Source organism: Homo sapiens, chromosome X (genome assembly GCF_000001405.40).
Source record: "Homo sapiens chromosome X, GRCh38.p14 Primary Assembly".
Classification (NCBI taxonomy): Eukaryota; Metazoa; Chordata; class Mammalia; order Primates; family Hominidae; genus Homo; species Homo sapiens.
Window position 1 is genome coordinate 51,852,109 of NC_000023.11, and position 15,709 is coordinate 51,867,817.

Below are 15,709 nucleotides of genomic sequence, written 5' to 3' on the forward strand. Positions count from 1 at the left end.
TTTCTAAAGGCCACCTACCTTCCTTGGCTCCTGCTCCCTTTCTCCATCTTCAGACATAACAGCAAAGCATTTTCAGCTCTCTGACTCTGACCTGCTCCCGTTGCCATCTCTCCTCTGACTCTGATCCTCCTGCCTCCTTATAAGGATCCCAGTAATTACACTGGGCTCACCAAGATAATCCAGGATAATCTCTTCATCTCAGAATCTTAACTCAGTCACATCTGCAAAGCCCATTTGCCATGTAAGGTAACATCTTCACAAGGGTTGGGATTTGAACATCTTGGGAGGACCATTATTCTGCTTACCACACCAGGTTAATGAATTACCAAGTAAAATACCTAATTAGAATTACACATCTCTTTTGTAGGTTATTTTCACTGAAACAGGCATTAATTTCTAAAGTTGTAGGAGTCATAAAATGGCTTTATTTAGACAATACTTCCAAGGAAAGATTTGTATTAACAGAGAATAGAACTAGTTGGTAACAGTTACAAATATTCTCAAATCACCATATTGCAAAGGGGAACAAGATTTACATTCTTGTTAAAGTTCTCAATTTAATGCCTTTTTAAATTCAGATTATTTGAAATTATTGTGCAGCAAAATGGTTTCCACGCCTCCACAGCAGCAGGGGAGCGGGCACAGAGCCTTCATATCTTTCTGAGTTTCCTTTTGTTAATTCTGAAGATTTGCATTTGTAAAGCTAGGCTCTGGAATTTCTTAGCTAGTTTTAAATAAAAAACATGTCTGGGTCCTCGTTATGCTGGCAGAAATGGAGAAAAAGCTGAAAGGATTTTATTACCAATGAAATTCTATATTTTGTGCCTTGTAAAGTAGTTGTGAAGATTTAATGTGACCACTTACAAGCCCTGACTACTGCTTGATGAATGAGAGCAGTTTGAGTCTCTTACCTTCTTTTTTGTACTTTCCGCCCTTTTGTATCTTCCTGCTGAGCTCAGATAATTTCGTCTTACCTGTCTTTAAATTTAAATTCTCTACTTAATCTTCTAATTAAAGCTATCCCTTGAGTTTTTAATTTTGAGTACTGTATTTTTTTTCTAAATGTTTGATTAGGTTCAATTATGGTCTGCCATTTGTTATGGCTTCCTGTTGCTTGGTAAGATCTTCAAGTTTTTTATTTATCTCTTTATGCATAGTAAACATAGTCGTCTTATAGTTTGTGTTTGATAATCCTATTGTTTAAAGTCTTTTTGTGAACATTTCTGTTGTCAGCTGATCCTGCTGATTTGCTTCTTTATCTAATTCAAGGCTCAAGGTTCCCAGGGCAAGTTATGTGATCCAAATCTGAGCTGCAAAACTGGCCTGCTTCCATTCACCCTCCCCTTTAGGGGGTAGCCCTTTGAGGTCCCAGCTCATTGTTGGGAATGTCTCCTCTTAGTTTTCCCACTTAGTGTAGCTCTGGGTTTTAATCTCTTATCTCTTTTGCCTTTCAAGGCAGCCAAAATGAAAGCTGAAATTTTTGGAATAGACAAATGCCCTTAGGACAGAAGTTGCTTCACTGCTCTATTTACCTCTAGGTTCCCCATTTCCCAGGAATGTTGCCCTAGTGTTTCCATACTGCCATTTTATTGTTTTTAAGTAGGTGTTACTACTTTTCTTTCATCAAGATTTTTAAAATTTGTTTTCAACCTGATGATTGGTCCAAATAATGTGGCAGGCAATCATCAGAACTAGAAACATTTCTTATAACTCCTTGCTACATTTTCTTTGAGATTAGATTTAGGCTCAGAACTTCATTATCTTTTGGGTTTTGTTTCTTCTGTTTTATAGAGGACACATCTGATGCTCAGAAAAGTACAAATACTTGCTCAAGGTCACATAGCAAGTAAGTGGTAATATTGGGCTTTGAACCCAGCTCTGTCCAACCCTGAAACCTACACTGTGTCAGTTTTTGTTCCTGGGTTCTGGAACTTCTTTCTTTTAGGAAGCAGGTAAATGACTCGTGATTTTCTTCCTTGAGTTTTATCTCTCAAGGTCAAGACCATCTATCTCCCTGTCTCTTGGAAGCACACACAGTTCTGTGCTTTTTTCACAAGGTCCTTGTCCTGTTTCTAAGACGTCCTGATAAATAAGTATCCCTTTCTACCACCCACCTTGTACCTTTCAGAACTGAATTCAGGGACATTCAGTATCCAACTGTAACCATAAAGTTTGATTTCCTTTTCAACTGCAGTATTTTCCTCAAAAGACCTAGATGAATTCCCTGCTGAATTTGGAAAGAGCTAAGGACAAAGTGACCCGGGAAGCAATCCTTTTAGATGAAAGGAGGAGGGAGAATGATACAAGTAGGGGTTAGAGAACTTACAGTTTAGTTGTATAGTGGTGGGATAGTTGAAGATTTTGGATTGGTGAATGCCCACAAGGCACCTTGTCATGGTGACAAATACAGGAGCTTTGGAGCCAGACCCACTTCAGCTGAATATCAGTTCACCTACATATTAACTCTAAAATGTTGGGCAAGTCAGCTTCCCTCTCTTGACCATCAGTTTCTTCATCCACAAACTTGGAATAATAATAGCAAACTTTCAAGGTTTCCGTGTGAAATACCAATGATGTATTTCAGTGAAGTGTTTGTGTTTGGTGCATGCTTACTAAATGGTTGTGGTAGTTATTATTATTGTTGTCCCCCTCAAACTTTTCATCTGGTGGGTGCCCTAAGACCAGGCAGGAGAGTTCATTTTTCATTTGTGTGTATGCCCAGTTACTCCTCTCTCCTCTGTTGCATCATCTTCTTCAGTCTCCTGAAGATCTCTTACCGTCTACGTTCTTCCCAATCCTTGCTTTCCTCTCCTAGTTCTACACAGTCAACACCTCCTTTGTTCAGATAATCTTCCCATTTCCCTACTCAATTTAATCTCTTTTCATTGCCTCTGCATTGTCCTCCAGATAAACCAGTCATCCTCATATCACTTTGTTTCTTCATGTCCCTCTCTCCCTGATTTGGGAGGCCACCCCAAAGTGAGACATATCACTGGGTCTCAGCAGGCCTTAATTTCTCAGCTGATTCTCTGTCTTATTTTGTCAGCTTCTTTTCATTAAGTAAAAGTTATGTTTTTCTGTGTATTATTTTTTAAGCTGTTTAGTTATGGATATCTTCCTTTTTTACGTATTTTACATTATAAAAGTAGAGACATGCTCATTTTGAAGATTTTAGAGAACAACAAAACTTTATTAGGAAGGAAATAAAAGTGACCCACAGTTTTATTAACTAGAGATAAATACTATTCAGTAATTGATATATTTCTTTTCAGTATATACAGTTTTGTATCATTTGCTAGGACTGTGTACCACAGTCTGGGTGGCTTAAACAATAGAAATTTATTTTTTCCCAATTCTGGAGGCTAGACGTCTGAGATCAAGGTGCTGGCAGGGTTGGTTTCTTCTCAGGCCTCTCTCCTTGGCATGTAGATGGCCGTCTTCTCCTTCCTGTGTCCTCACATGGTTTTCCTTCTCTGTATATCTCTGTCTTTATCTCCTCTTCTTTTTATTTTATTTTTGCAATTCTCCTGCCTCAGTCTCCTGAGTAGCTGGGATTGCAGGTGCCCACCACCATGCCCGGCTAATTTTTGTGTTTTTAGTAGAGACGGGTTTTCACCATGTTGGCCAGGCTGGTCTCAAACTCCTGACCTCAAATGATCTGCCCGCCTCGGCCTCCCAAAGTGCTAGGATTACAGGCATGAGCCCCCGCACCGGGCTTATCTCCTCTTCTTATAAGGACACCAGGCATGTTGGATTAGAACTCTAATGATGTCATTTTAATTTAACTACCTAACTAGACACTAATGATGTCATTTTTAATTTAACTACCTTTTTAAAGATCTTGTCTCCAGTGTAGTCACGTTCTGAGGTACTAGGGGTTGGGACTTCACCGTATGAATTTTGAGGGGACACAGTTCAGCCCATAACACCTGCTTTCTTCTCTAAAAGTTATCTTTTAAGAATTCCCACTTGTCGATAACAATTCTTTGACAATAGTTCTGATGACTACATAATATCCCATCATTAAAATATACCACAATTTACTTAATCAATTTCATATTCTTGGACCTTTCAGGTGTTTTCATTTTTTCACTAATATAAATGCTTCCATAAGTAGTTTTGTACATGGATGTTTGGATATCTGACTATTTGTTTGGAATAGATTGCTTGAAGAGTGATTATTGGGTCAAAAGGTATGACTATTCTCTGGTTTTTAATTACATACTGCAAAATTGTTTTCCAGAAAATTGTACTAATTTACATTCATACCAGGAAGGAGAATAGTCAGTTAGGCATTCATATAAGCTGCTGGTGGGAATGAGAAAGGAAAAATAAACTCTCATGGTTGTTTCACTTTACATTAATTGATGACTAACAAAATGGAATATTTCATGTATTTATTAATCTGTTTGCATTTCCTTTTTTGTGAACTGTTACTCATGTTCTTTGCCCATTTATGTATGTGAGTCTATCATTTTAGGTGATAAGATTATGATTTAGAGTGAGTTCTACTCTAAAGAGGGAAATTTCAGAAAAAGTGAAATTCCAAAGAATGTTATGGATCCAGAATCCAAGGACTATTGGTCTGAGTCTCTTCTTTGGAGAAGACTTGGCATGTGATGACATATAGGTAAAGGAATGGCTGCAGGAAAGCTTGGCAGGGAAGAGTTGAATGTATTCCTTACGCAGGGAAATTTGTTACAGGCACAGTACTGCCACTTATACTACTGAAGAGAAAGGCTGTGAGTGAATTAACTGAGGAAAGGCAAGCTAGATGCATATTATATATGGGAATCTTCTAGGAAAAAAAGCACAGAGATATGATTCACATGACCATAACTCTTGCAAAGGTTTTAGAATTTGTGAGACACTGGGGAGGTTCTCATGGGGAAAAGTCTTATGTATGTGATTAATGTCAAAAAGCCCTTTGTCAGTGTTCAAGGGAGGTACCTCAGAGTACTCATGATAAAGAGAAACCCTATGAATGCTGTGAATGTAGTGAATATAAAGAAATTTTTAATCATGATGCCAGTCTTACTTACCATCTGAGGACTCACACCTGAGAATTCATTGATTTGTTATGGCCATAAGAATGTGGAAAGGCAGGACATGATTCTCTTTCAACACCAGAAATTTCATAGGGTAGAAAAACTTTCCCAATGCTGGACAAATTGCAGTGGGTGATGAAGCTTTTTGAATCATGCAAAAGTTTATACTGGACAGAATCCCTATGAGTGTACTGACTGTGGGAAAGGCCTCAAGACAAACTCAGACTGTTTTTTTTAACATGAGAGAATTCATAGTGGAGAACAACCCTATGCTCATAATGCATGTGGAAAGGCTTTCAGATCCAGCTCAGACTTTACTAAACATGAGAGAATTCATAGTGGAAAGTAACCTTATGCAATGATGAATGTGGGAAAGGGTATCTGGAGATAACAGACCTTCAAAAACATTAGAAAATTTATAGCGGAGATGGAAAGAGATCCTTTCAGTGTAATGAATATGGAAATGTTTTTAATCTAGAGCTCAAATTTTATTTGTCATCAAAGATAATCTTTTACAATGAATATACAAAAACCTCCAAACAGAAATCAATCCTTGTTCATCATCTGCAGATTCATAGTGGACAGACACTCTGTACCTGTAATGAATAAGCCTTCAATTAGAGGCTAAGTCTTATTCATTATCAGAGGATTCATAAAGGCATCACCTTCTATGTACGTAAAAAATTATGGGTATGCTTTCAGCAGGATATCAGCCTTATTTGATATTGGCAAGTCTATAGCGAGTTCGCTTAAATGCAGTGAGTGTGGAAAGGCCTTCAATCTGAAGTTTAATCTTACTCAGCATCAGAAAATACAGAGTGGCAGGAATCTTATTAATGTAATGTGTGTGGGAAAGTCTTTATGAGAAAATCACGTCTTGGTAAAAATGAAAAAAAGATTCTTTGTAAAAGTTAAAATAGTTACCACATAATTACACGCCTGCCAGTGTGCCAAGCACTACAAGAACTTTACATTGTTTAATCATTTTTTTACAATAATCATACAATGTAGAAATCCTCGTTGTTTTACACACACATGAAGAAACCAAAGAAATGAGGTGGAAAAACTTCCCCAAGATCACATACTAGTCACTGGAAGAGCCAGGGTTTGAGTCCTAGAGAGTTTAATTGTTCTGGGTTTATAGTGGCAATATGTAAATCTTCAAGGATGTGTTAGTCTTTATTCATTATTAAGAAATTCCTTCAGAAATCAGGATTCACTCTTCAGTGAGTATTGGGAGCCTTCAGTCAGTTTTGGAATTAGAGACTCTACATTGGGTTCTATCAAATTTAGTAAGGACTATAAAGACTTTATCATATTTATATTATCCCTTTGAATAGGGATTACTTCCAATCTTGAAAGATTTCATTAATAACAAAATTCTGTTCTCAAATGCTCACCCTAACCACTTTCTGTGGTGTAGACAACGTGGAGTGGGATGGAAAGCACAGGCTCTGGGATTGGCCAGGATAGCTTCACCATCAGGAACAAGGTAGAGTTACCCAGTTCTTAAAAAGATTGAGTAGGAATGGAGAGGACAGATGTGGTGAGAGCTTCAGGAACAGAGTCAGGTCATTCTAGGAATTATAACCAAACAAGCCAAAATAAAGTAGAATTCAGCCTATAAGGAAGTGGAGAAGCTAGGGTATGTGGCATGATTTTCTCCCCAGATGGATTTAGCTATAGGTTGCTTGTGTATCACCCAGTATTCAGAGGAACTTGAATTTGAAATTGCTTCAGGAATATGCAGTACTCTAGCACTGAGTCAAAAATAAGCGTGACTTTCAGAAACTCAAGGTATAAGAAATATTAATAAATTGATTTTCTACCTTCTCACTTCAAGGAGGCAGTGTGCTACACCAGAAAGTATTCAGGATCTACCTTCAGGTATAACTGGGTTTATTTGCCAGCTTAACCACCTTCTAGCTGTGTGACTTTAGTTATATTAATAAATCTCTTTGAGTCTCACCTTGCTCATTTTTTTTTTAGGTCAGGATATAATACTGTACCAAGTTGTAAGGATTCTAGATAAAGGGTATAAAGTGTCTAGTATGGCGCCTGGCATGTAGTACATACCTAATAAATATGTTATTGAAATATATTATTGTTGGTTCTGCAAGGATCTTAACACTCTATAATAGACCTCTCCAACCCCAGTTGGGGAATGAATGTGTTACACTTGTGTTGTGATAGTATTAATCACTTTAGATTATGGGGCTTCTGCTGGCTTATATGGTACCTTTGTGTGAATTGTAAAATAATACCTCTTCCTCAAAAGACTTTCTTACCACTTGCTAGAAAATTGTCATAATAAACACAGATATCTTTGATGGTCATAATGTGAATGGTATTCTGCAGAATCATGCGGCCCACAATTTGCAAAACCTGAAGTTGGTAGGCTGAATAAATGGCCCCCCAAAACTGTCTGCATTTTAATCTCTAGAACCTGTGAATATATATTACCTGAAATGGTAAAAGGGACTTCGGCAGATGTGATCAAATTAAGGATTTTGAGATGCAGGGATAATACTGGATTATTAGGGTGGGCCCAATGTAATCACAAGGATCCTTATAAGAGAGAGGCAGGAGGACCAGACTTATAGAGAGAGAATGTGAGGACTAAAGGAGAGGTCAGAGAGGGAAGAAGATGCTATGCTGCTGGCTTTGAATTTGGAGAAAGGAGCCATGAACAAAGAACTGCCTGGGAGGCAGAGGTTGCAGTGAGCTGAGATCATGCAACTGCACTCCAACCTGGGCAACAGAGTGAGATTCTGTCTCAAAAAAGAAAGAAAGAAAGAAAGATCCTGTGGGTAGGAGTGTGATGGATAGCCGGGTGCATTGGCTCACATCTGTAATCCCAGCACTTTGGAAGGCCGAGGCGGGCAGATCATTTGAGGTCAGGAGTTCCAGACCATCCTGGCCAACACTGTGAAACCCTGTCTCTACTACAAATACAAAATTAGCCAGGCATGGTGGTGCACATCTGTAGTCCCAGCTACTTGGGAGGCTGAGGCAGGAGAATCGCTTGAACCTGGGAGGGGGAGGTTGCAGTGAGCTGAGATCACGCCACTGCACTCCAGCCTGAGTGACAGAGTGAGACTCCGTCTCAAAAAGAAAAGAAAAAAAGGAGTGTGATGGATAGATTGGAAAAGAGAACTGGGTGCAGGGAGACCAGTTAGGAGGCTATTTATAAAGTAGATACTGAAATCTGGGTTAAGGCAGTGGGAATGAAATGAGAATACCATATATGCAATAAATTTGGAACTTGGTCACTGACTAGATATAGGGGGACTGACGGAGAAGAAGGAATCAAGGATGATGCCCAGTTGTCTTTCTGCCTTGGATGGTTAACAAGTTGCAAAAACCATTCATGGAGAACTCAGAATAAGGAGCAGGTTTGTGGGGAAAGAATGACCTTTGCAGTGTCCAAGAGGAATTATTCAGTAGGTAGTCCGGAATTCATTCTGCTGCTGTGAAGCAAGTAGGGTTACAGATAGAAATCAGATAGAAATTTGGTAGTCATCAAATACAGAAGTGGTGGTTTTAATTGAAGTATCAATGAGATTGCCCCGGGAGAGGGTGGTGTGGAGTGAGAAAAAAAAAAGACCCAAGGCAGAATCTCAGAAACCTAGGCATTTTGAGGGAAGACAAAGCTGAGAATCAGCAGAAGAAAGGTAGGAGGGGGACCAGAGGAGATACAGCATTCTTGTTCTGCCCTCTTGTGGCAAGCTGAGTGTGTCCCAGCATAAATCTTCCCTCTCTTGTCTTCAGTCTTCCAGGTCTCTGACTCATAATTCCATTCCCACCCTACCTGGGAGAATGGAGCTGCCAGGTCTTCTCATGGTCATTTCTCAAATGTAAAGCTCCTCTTCGATTATTTCTACAATTCAAGAGCAATTTGGACCCCACCCCCATGTTGCAAAAGAATAAAAAGCAAACAGTGGGGCGGGGCTTCAGTTTCCACATTTATATGCTCCACCATCTTTTGATCTATTCTATTGGCCTCATTAATTTTAGTACATCTCAACTCTCATCATATCCCTTCGCTCCCTTTATAATTAAAAGACATTTTATTTTGAATTTTTTTATTATAGTAAATATACTGTATATTATAGCAAGACCTATGTATGGCTTAAAAAAGAAATAACAAAAAATAGCAGTATTAGCTTCACTTTTTTTCACCACCAGACTTGAACACTTGAAGGCTAGAATGCAAATTAGCCAACTTTGAAATCTACTTCTTTTGGTTTTTATCTAAATACCATTATTTCATGAGTTACCTATTTCAGATATTAGCTGTTGACTTCCCATTATGGTAGATGAAGATTTAATTCACTTTTTCTCCCTCAATTACCTTCTCTATTCTTTTAGTATAGCTATAGCATACTTTCTGGTTAATGATGTTTATACTATTGTGATTGTGCAAACATTGTTCACTAAAGAGACAGGTAGTGAATTGTGTCTATGTTTCTGTTTTGAACACATTTGTATCATTTCTAGAGTTATAATTCCCTTTTATCTGTGTATTTTTATATATTTATATTTGAGGCAGAGTCTTGCCCTGTCACCCAGGCTATAGTGCAATAGTGCGATCTTGGCTCACTGCAACCTCTGCCTCCTGGGTTCAAGCAATTTTCCTGCCTCAGCCTCCAGGCAGCTGGGATTACAGGCGCCCACCATATCTGGCTAATTTTTTTGTATTTTTAGTAGAGATGGGGGTTCACCATGTTGGCCAGGCTGGTTTCGAACTCCTGACCTCAAGTGATCTGCTCGCCTTGGCCTCCCAAAATATCCTTATTTTTTCTGTTAGCTCTATCATATGTCTATTTTTGTGTAACTGCTAAAAAACGTCAGAGTATTCAGAATATTTATTTTCTAGAAATCCCCTTTGTAGAGCCTTCTCTCTTGATCCAGTCTGGGCTGTTTTCAATCCTGAAAGCTTTTGGGATTTCCACTTTATCCCTAATATTCTAAACTTTCATGATGATGTGTGGATATTTGTATATCTGTTGTCCTAGATACCTGGTAGGTAGACTCTTTCAGTTTGTATGTTTTTGTACTTGGACTCTGGAAAGTTTTATTATTTCTTGGATACTTTGTGAGCTCCATAAGGACACATTTTTATCTATTTTATTTATTTCTGTTTTTCCAGTGCCTAAAATAGTGCCTGATACATGATAGACATTTATTTGTTGAATGAATTACTATTTACATTTAAAATAATAAAAATGAAATAATGCCTCCAGACCCACCGACCAGGACAAGAAATAGAACATTATCAGTACTTTAGTGCCCTATCCAATCACACCTTCCTGTCCGCCTCCACCTAGAGATAATACTACCCTGATTTTTGTATTAACAATTTCTTTGGTTTTCGTATATTTTTATCACTTGTATATATGTTTTTAAACAACATATTGTTTAGTTTTGAAAAAATGGAAAAGCGAACACAAACCTAGTTGTACGAGAAAAGGGTACTGTTGCCCCTGTTAGATAGTCTCCCAGGAAAACAGAGGTTCTGCGTCAAAAACTGATTTTAGCTTCTCTGAGAACTGTAAAGCCATTTCTGGGATAATTAGTGAATGAGGTCATGAAATTTACTGTTACTGATGAAAGTCCTATCTGTCTAATTTAATTTTTCTATTGCAGGTGACATTTTCTCTCTTTTCAGCTCTCAGAGTTATAGTTGACAAAAATTATACGTATTCAAGGTGTATACATATTCAAAGTGATATTTTGATATAAATATACATTGGGAAATGATTTCTACAGTCAAGCTAATTAACATATCCATCAACTCACAGTTACCTTTTTTGTGGGAATACTTAAGATCTACTCTCTTAATGAATTTCAAGTATGTAATACATTATTACTAACTATATTCACCATGCTGTACATTAGATCTCCAGAACTTACTCATCTTACAACCACAAGTTTGTATCCTTTGACCATCTCTCCACTTCCCCCACACACTGGCTGACCTTGGGTAACCACCCATCCACTCTCTGTTTCTATGAGTTCAACTTTTTAAAGATTCAGCATATAAGTGAGATGATGCAGTATTTGTCTTTCCGTGTTTGGCTTATATCACTTAGCATAGTGTCCTCCAGGTTCATCTGTGTTGTTGCAAATGGCAGGATTTCCTTTATCAAGGGTGAACAATATTCCATTGTGTGTGTGTATGTATGTGTGTGTGTGTATACACACAATTTCTTAATGCATCTGTTGCAGACACTTAGATTGTTTTCATATTGTAACTATTGCTAAAAATGCAGCAATGAACAGGGGAGTTCAGATGCTTCTTTAAGATAGTGATTTTATCTCCTTTGGATATACACCCAGAAGTGGAATTGCTGGATCATATGTTCAATTCTTAATTTTGGGGGGGAACCTCCATACTGTTTCTGCTAGTGACTGTACCACTTTATACTCTCACCAACAATGTATAAAGGTTCACTTTTTGCCACTTTTTGCCAACACTTGTTATCATTTGACTTTTTGATAATAACTATCATAACAAGTGTGAGATGTTATCTCATTGTGGTTTTAATTTGCATTTCCTTGAAGATTAGAAATGTTTAACACTTTCAATATACCTGTTGGGCATTTGTATGTCTTCCTTGGAAAAAATGTCTATTCAGGTCCTTTGCCCATTTTTAAATTGGGTTATTTGTGTGTGTTTTTTTTTAACTACTGAGTTAACTATGTGAGTTCCTTATATATTTTGTATATTAACCCCTTATCAGATATATGGTTTGTGTATATTTTCTCCTAATCTGTGGGTTGCCTTTTCATTTTGTTGATTGTTTCCCTTGCTGTGTAGAAACTTTGTAGTTTGATGTAGTCCCACTTGTTTATGTTTGCTTTTGTTACCTGCCTTTTTGGTGTAATAACAAAAAAATCATTGTCATGTTCAATGTGAAGGACCTTTTCCGATGTTTTCTTCTAGAAGTTGTATGTTTTAGGACTTGCATTTAAATCTCTAATCCAATTTCCAATTTGAGTTGAGGGGTGTGAGAGAGAGAGAGAGAGAGTGTGTGTGTGTGTGTGTGTGTGTGTAAGATAATGATCCAATTTCATTTTTTTCTGCAATGGACATTCAGTTTTTCCAACACCATTTGTTGAAGAAACTATCCTTTCCACATTATGTATTCTTGATGCCTTTGTCAAAGATTAGTTGACTGTATATGCATGGATTTGTTTCTGGGCTATTTTATTTATTTGTCTATGTGTCTGTTTTTATGCCAGTACCATGTTGTTTTGATTACTATAGCTTTGTAACGTAATGTGAAATCAGGAAGTATGATGCCTCTGACTTTGTTCTTCTTATTCAAGATTGCTTTTAGTTATTAATAGGGGTTTTATTGAATCTGCAGATTGCTTTAGTTAGTACGGACATTTTGACAATATTGATTCTTCCAATCCATGAACACAGAATACTTTTCAATTTATTTGTGTCTTTTTCAATTTCTTCCATTATTGTTTTGTAGTTTTCAGTGTACAGATCTTTTACCTCCTTGGTTAAATTTATTCCTAAGTATTTTATTGGTTTTGATGTTATTATAAATGGGATTATTTTCTTAATTTCCCTTTTGGATTATTTATTGTTAGTACATAGAAATATTATTGATTTTTCTATGCTGATAGTATATTATGTAACTTAATTCATTTATTAGTTCTAATAGTTTGTTTTATGGAGTCCTTAGGTTTTTCTGTATATACGATTATGTCATCTGCAAACAGATATAATTTCACTTCTTCCTTTCCAATTTGGATGCATTTTATTTCCTTTTCTTGACTAATTGCTCTGGTTAGGGCCTCCAGTACTATGATGAATAGAAATGGTGAGAGTGGGCATCCTTGTCTTGTTCATGATCTTAGAGGAAAAGCTTACAACTTTTCAACATTGAGTATGTTGTTAGCCATGGGCTTGTGATATACGGCCTTTACTGCCTTTGGGTACATTCCTCTTATACCTAATTTGTTGAGAGTTTTTATCATTGAAGATTTCTAAATTTTGTTTCTCTTTCTCTTTAAGATTGTAATTTTTTTTCTTGTTTCCTTGAATTCAAGAATTTAATCAGGGTATCCTGAGTATATCTTAGAATGTAAGCTCCACAAAGACAGGGATTTTTGTCTGTTTTGTTCACTGATATATCCCAAGTGCCTAGAATAATGCTGGCTATGTAATAAGTCCTCATTAGATGAGTTGATTAAATTAATGTATGAATGCATAAATTGATGAATGGATGGATGAACAGGTACTCAATCTTGTCTGGAATTCAGGTAGCCCTTTCTTTAGCTCAGGGAAATTTTCTTCTATCATTTAGTTAAATATTGCCTTTCTTCCTTCTATTTCTTTTCTCCTTTAACTCCCCATCCATCTCCCATATTCACATTTTAGGTTCATTGACACTATCCTCTAGATACCTTGTCTTGTATCTCATTGTATCTATTGCTTTTTGGGTTTTTTTGCTCAGTGCCTTGATATAAATCTTGCACTTAATTTTCTAGTCAAGTAATTCAGGGCTCATCATTGACATCATTTTTCATTTTATTGTTTAATTGGAATTTGATACAGTTTGGATTTGTGTCCCCACCTAAATCTCATGTTGAATTGTGATCCCTAATTTGGGAGAGAGGCCTGGTGGGAGGTAATTGGATCAAGAGGGCAGATTTCCCCCTTGCTGTTCTCATGATAGTGAGTTCTCACGAGATCTGGTTGTTTAAAAGTGTGTAGCACCTCCACCCTTCTCTCTCTTCCTCCTGCTCTGGCCATGTAAGATGTGCCTGCTTCACTTTCACCTTCTGCCATGATTGTGAGTTTCCTGAGGCCTCCCCAGCCAAGCTTCCTATACAGCCTGTGGAACCATAAACTAATTAAACCTCTTTTCTTTATAAATTATGCAGTCTCAGGAATTTCCTTATAGCAGTGTGAGAACAGACTAATATAGAATTTGTTTTTAAAGCTTTGAGCTCTAGAAAGTTTTTGTGTGTATATGCTGCATTTTCCTCAGGTGTTCTTATTACTTTTTAGTCAGTTTTTACATATCTTGTCTAATAGCTTTGTTTTATTTCTCTCTGACTGCTGAAACTTTTTAATGTTTGTTTTTATGAATGATCACTTTGTGGGCCTTGATGTAGATTGGAATGTATTTGAGTCAGTACTGCTAGAATATCAACTATGTGCAGATATGAATGGTGTTACTATGGAAACGAGGTCACATGTGAGTTCTGATCTTCACACTGCCTTATTTCCAGCGAAAAGTTGCCATTTCTTTAGAACACTGATTGTCCCCGGATAAAACTGTGAACATTCCAATATTTAGGCCTAGTCACCTTGGACACAAATTGCACTCTGAAATATTGTTCTTTCACTGAGAGCAGACAAGCACAGTATTTAAGTTTATATGCAAGGTCTCAAAAGCTAACACAAAGCTAGCTAGCAAAAAGAAAAAAGAAAGAGCTAAAATGACTGTTAGATGTAATTCTACATAACCTGTTTTTAACAAGAGCATTCTATAAGACTAAATTCTAAATTTTTTCATCAAAGGGTGTTTTTCTACTCCTGATTAATTTTCACCTACTGTACCATGGTAACTCTACCCATTCAGAATTTGAATTCCTAGTTCAGGGAAAGGAGGAATCTGGGGTAGTGGCAATGCAATATCCTTGTTTAGACTTGATGTTAATTTGTATCAGTGTTTGCTGGTAATGCTAATCAAAAACAAACTCCACCTAGAAACCTGTTAGTGGTAAAACATGGATAACACCAGTAAAGAGAATTTATATGATTTCATTGATCCATTGTGTGGAGCTGTGAGGGATCAATAAATAACATTCATCTTTCCTGACTAGGTTCAGAACCAATTGAAATTGAAAGATGTAGGAATCCGATAAATGGAACTCAAAACATCATCTTTATTACTGATAACACTTCAGAGAATATGGCTTTAATGTGGACTTCCTAATATTGGACCCCAGAATTAAGCAGATTTACCTAAACCACCATAAGCAATGGTGAAAAACCACAAGACTCTGGGCCAAAAGTGGGCCACTTGATGCATGATATGTTTTCTGTAAGCATGTAGATGAAGGGCAGAGAGCAAGAGCCTAAGCCAAGCTGTATTAGTCAGGGTTCTCTAGAGGGACAGAACTATATATACACATAAAAATAAAGGGGAGCTTATTAAGTATTAACTTACACGATCACAAGGTCTCACAATAGGCTATCGGCAAGCTGAGGAGCAAGAAGAGCCAATCCGAGTCCCAAAACTGAAGAACTTGGAGTCTGATGTTCAAGGGCAGGAAGCATCCAGCACGAGAGAAAGATGTAGGCTGGGAGGCTAGGTCAGTCTCTCCTTCTCACGTTTTTCTGCCTGCTTTATATTCGCTGGCAGCTGATTAGATTGTGCCCACCAGTTGAAGGGTATATCTGCCTTCCCCAGCCCGCTGACTCAAATGTTAATCTCTTTTGGCAACACCCTCACAGACACACCCAGGATCAATACTTTGTATCCTTCAATTCAATCAAGTTGATACTCAGTATTAACCATCACACAAGCATACTCAGATGTTTCTTCCAAACATACTAGTCACATAACTCATTCCTTCTTCTGTGGACAGAAAAGCAGGAGTGTTAGTCTATTTGAAGTTCTTCC

General features: G+C 37.4%; 1 protein-coding gene and 1 pseudogene across 4 annotated transcripts in view; both read left to right on the forward strand.

The window, feature by feature from the left end:
* The window catches only part of MAGED1 (MAGE family member D1), a 99,279-nt gene that overhangs the window by 49,033 nt on the left and 34,537 nt on the right, over window positions 1–15,709 (forward strand). Inside the window, exon 2 of one of the 4 annotated variants that reach the window (XM_047442676.1) lies at window positions 1–15,709. This exon is cut by the window's right edge and continues 14,703 nt beyond it. The exons of the other annotated variants lie outside the window; for them this stretch is intronic. The gene's annotated coding sequence lies outside the window, so the exon portion shown is untranslated. 4 annotated transcript variants of the gene reach the window in all.
* On the forward strand, window positions 4,790–5,981 carry LOC100631242 (zinc finger protein 852 pseudogene; annotated as a pseudogene).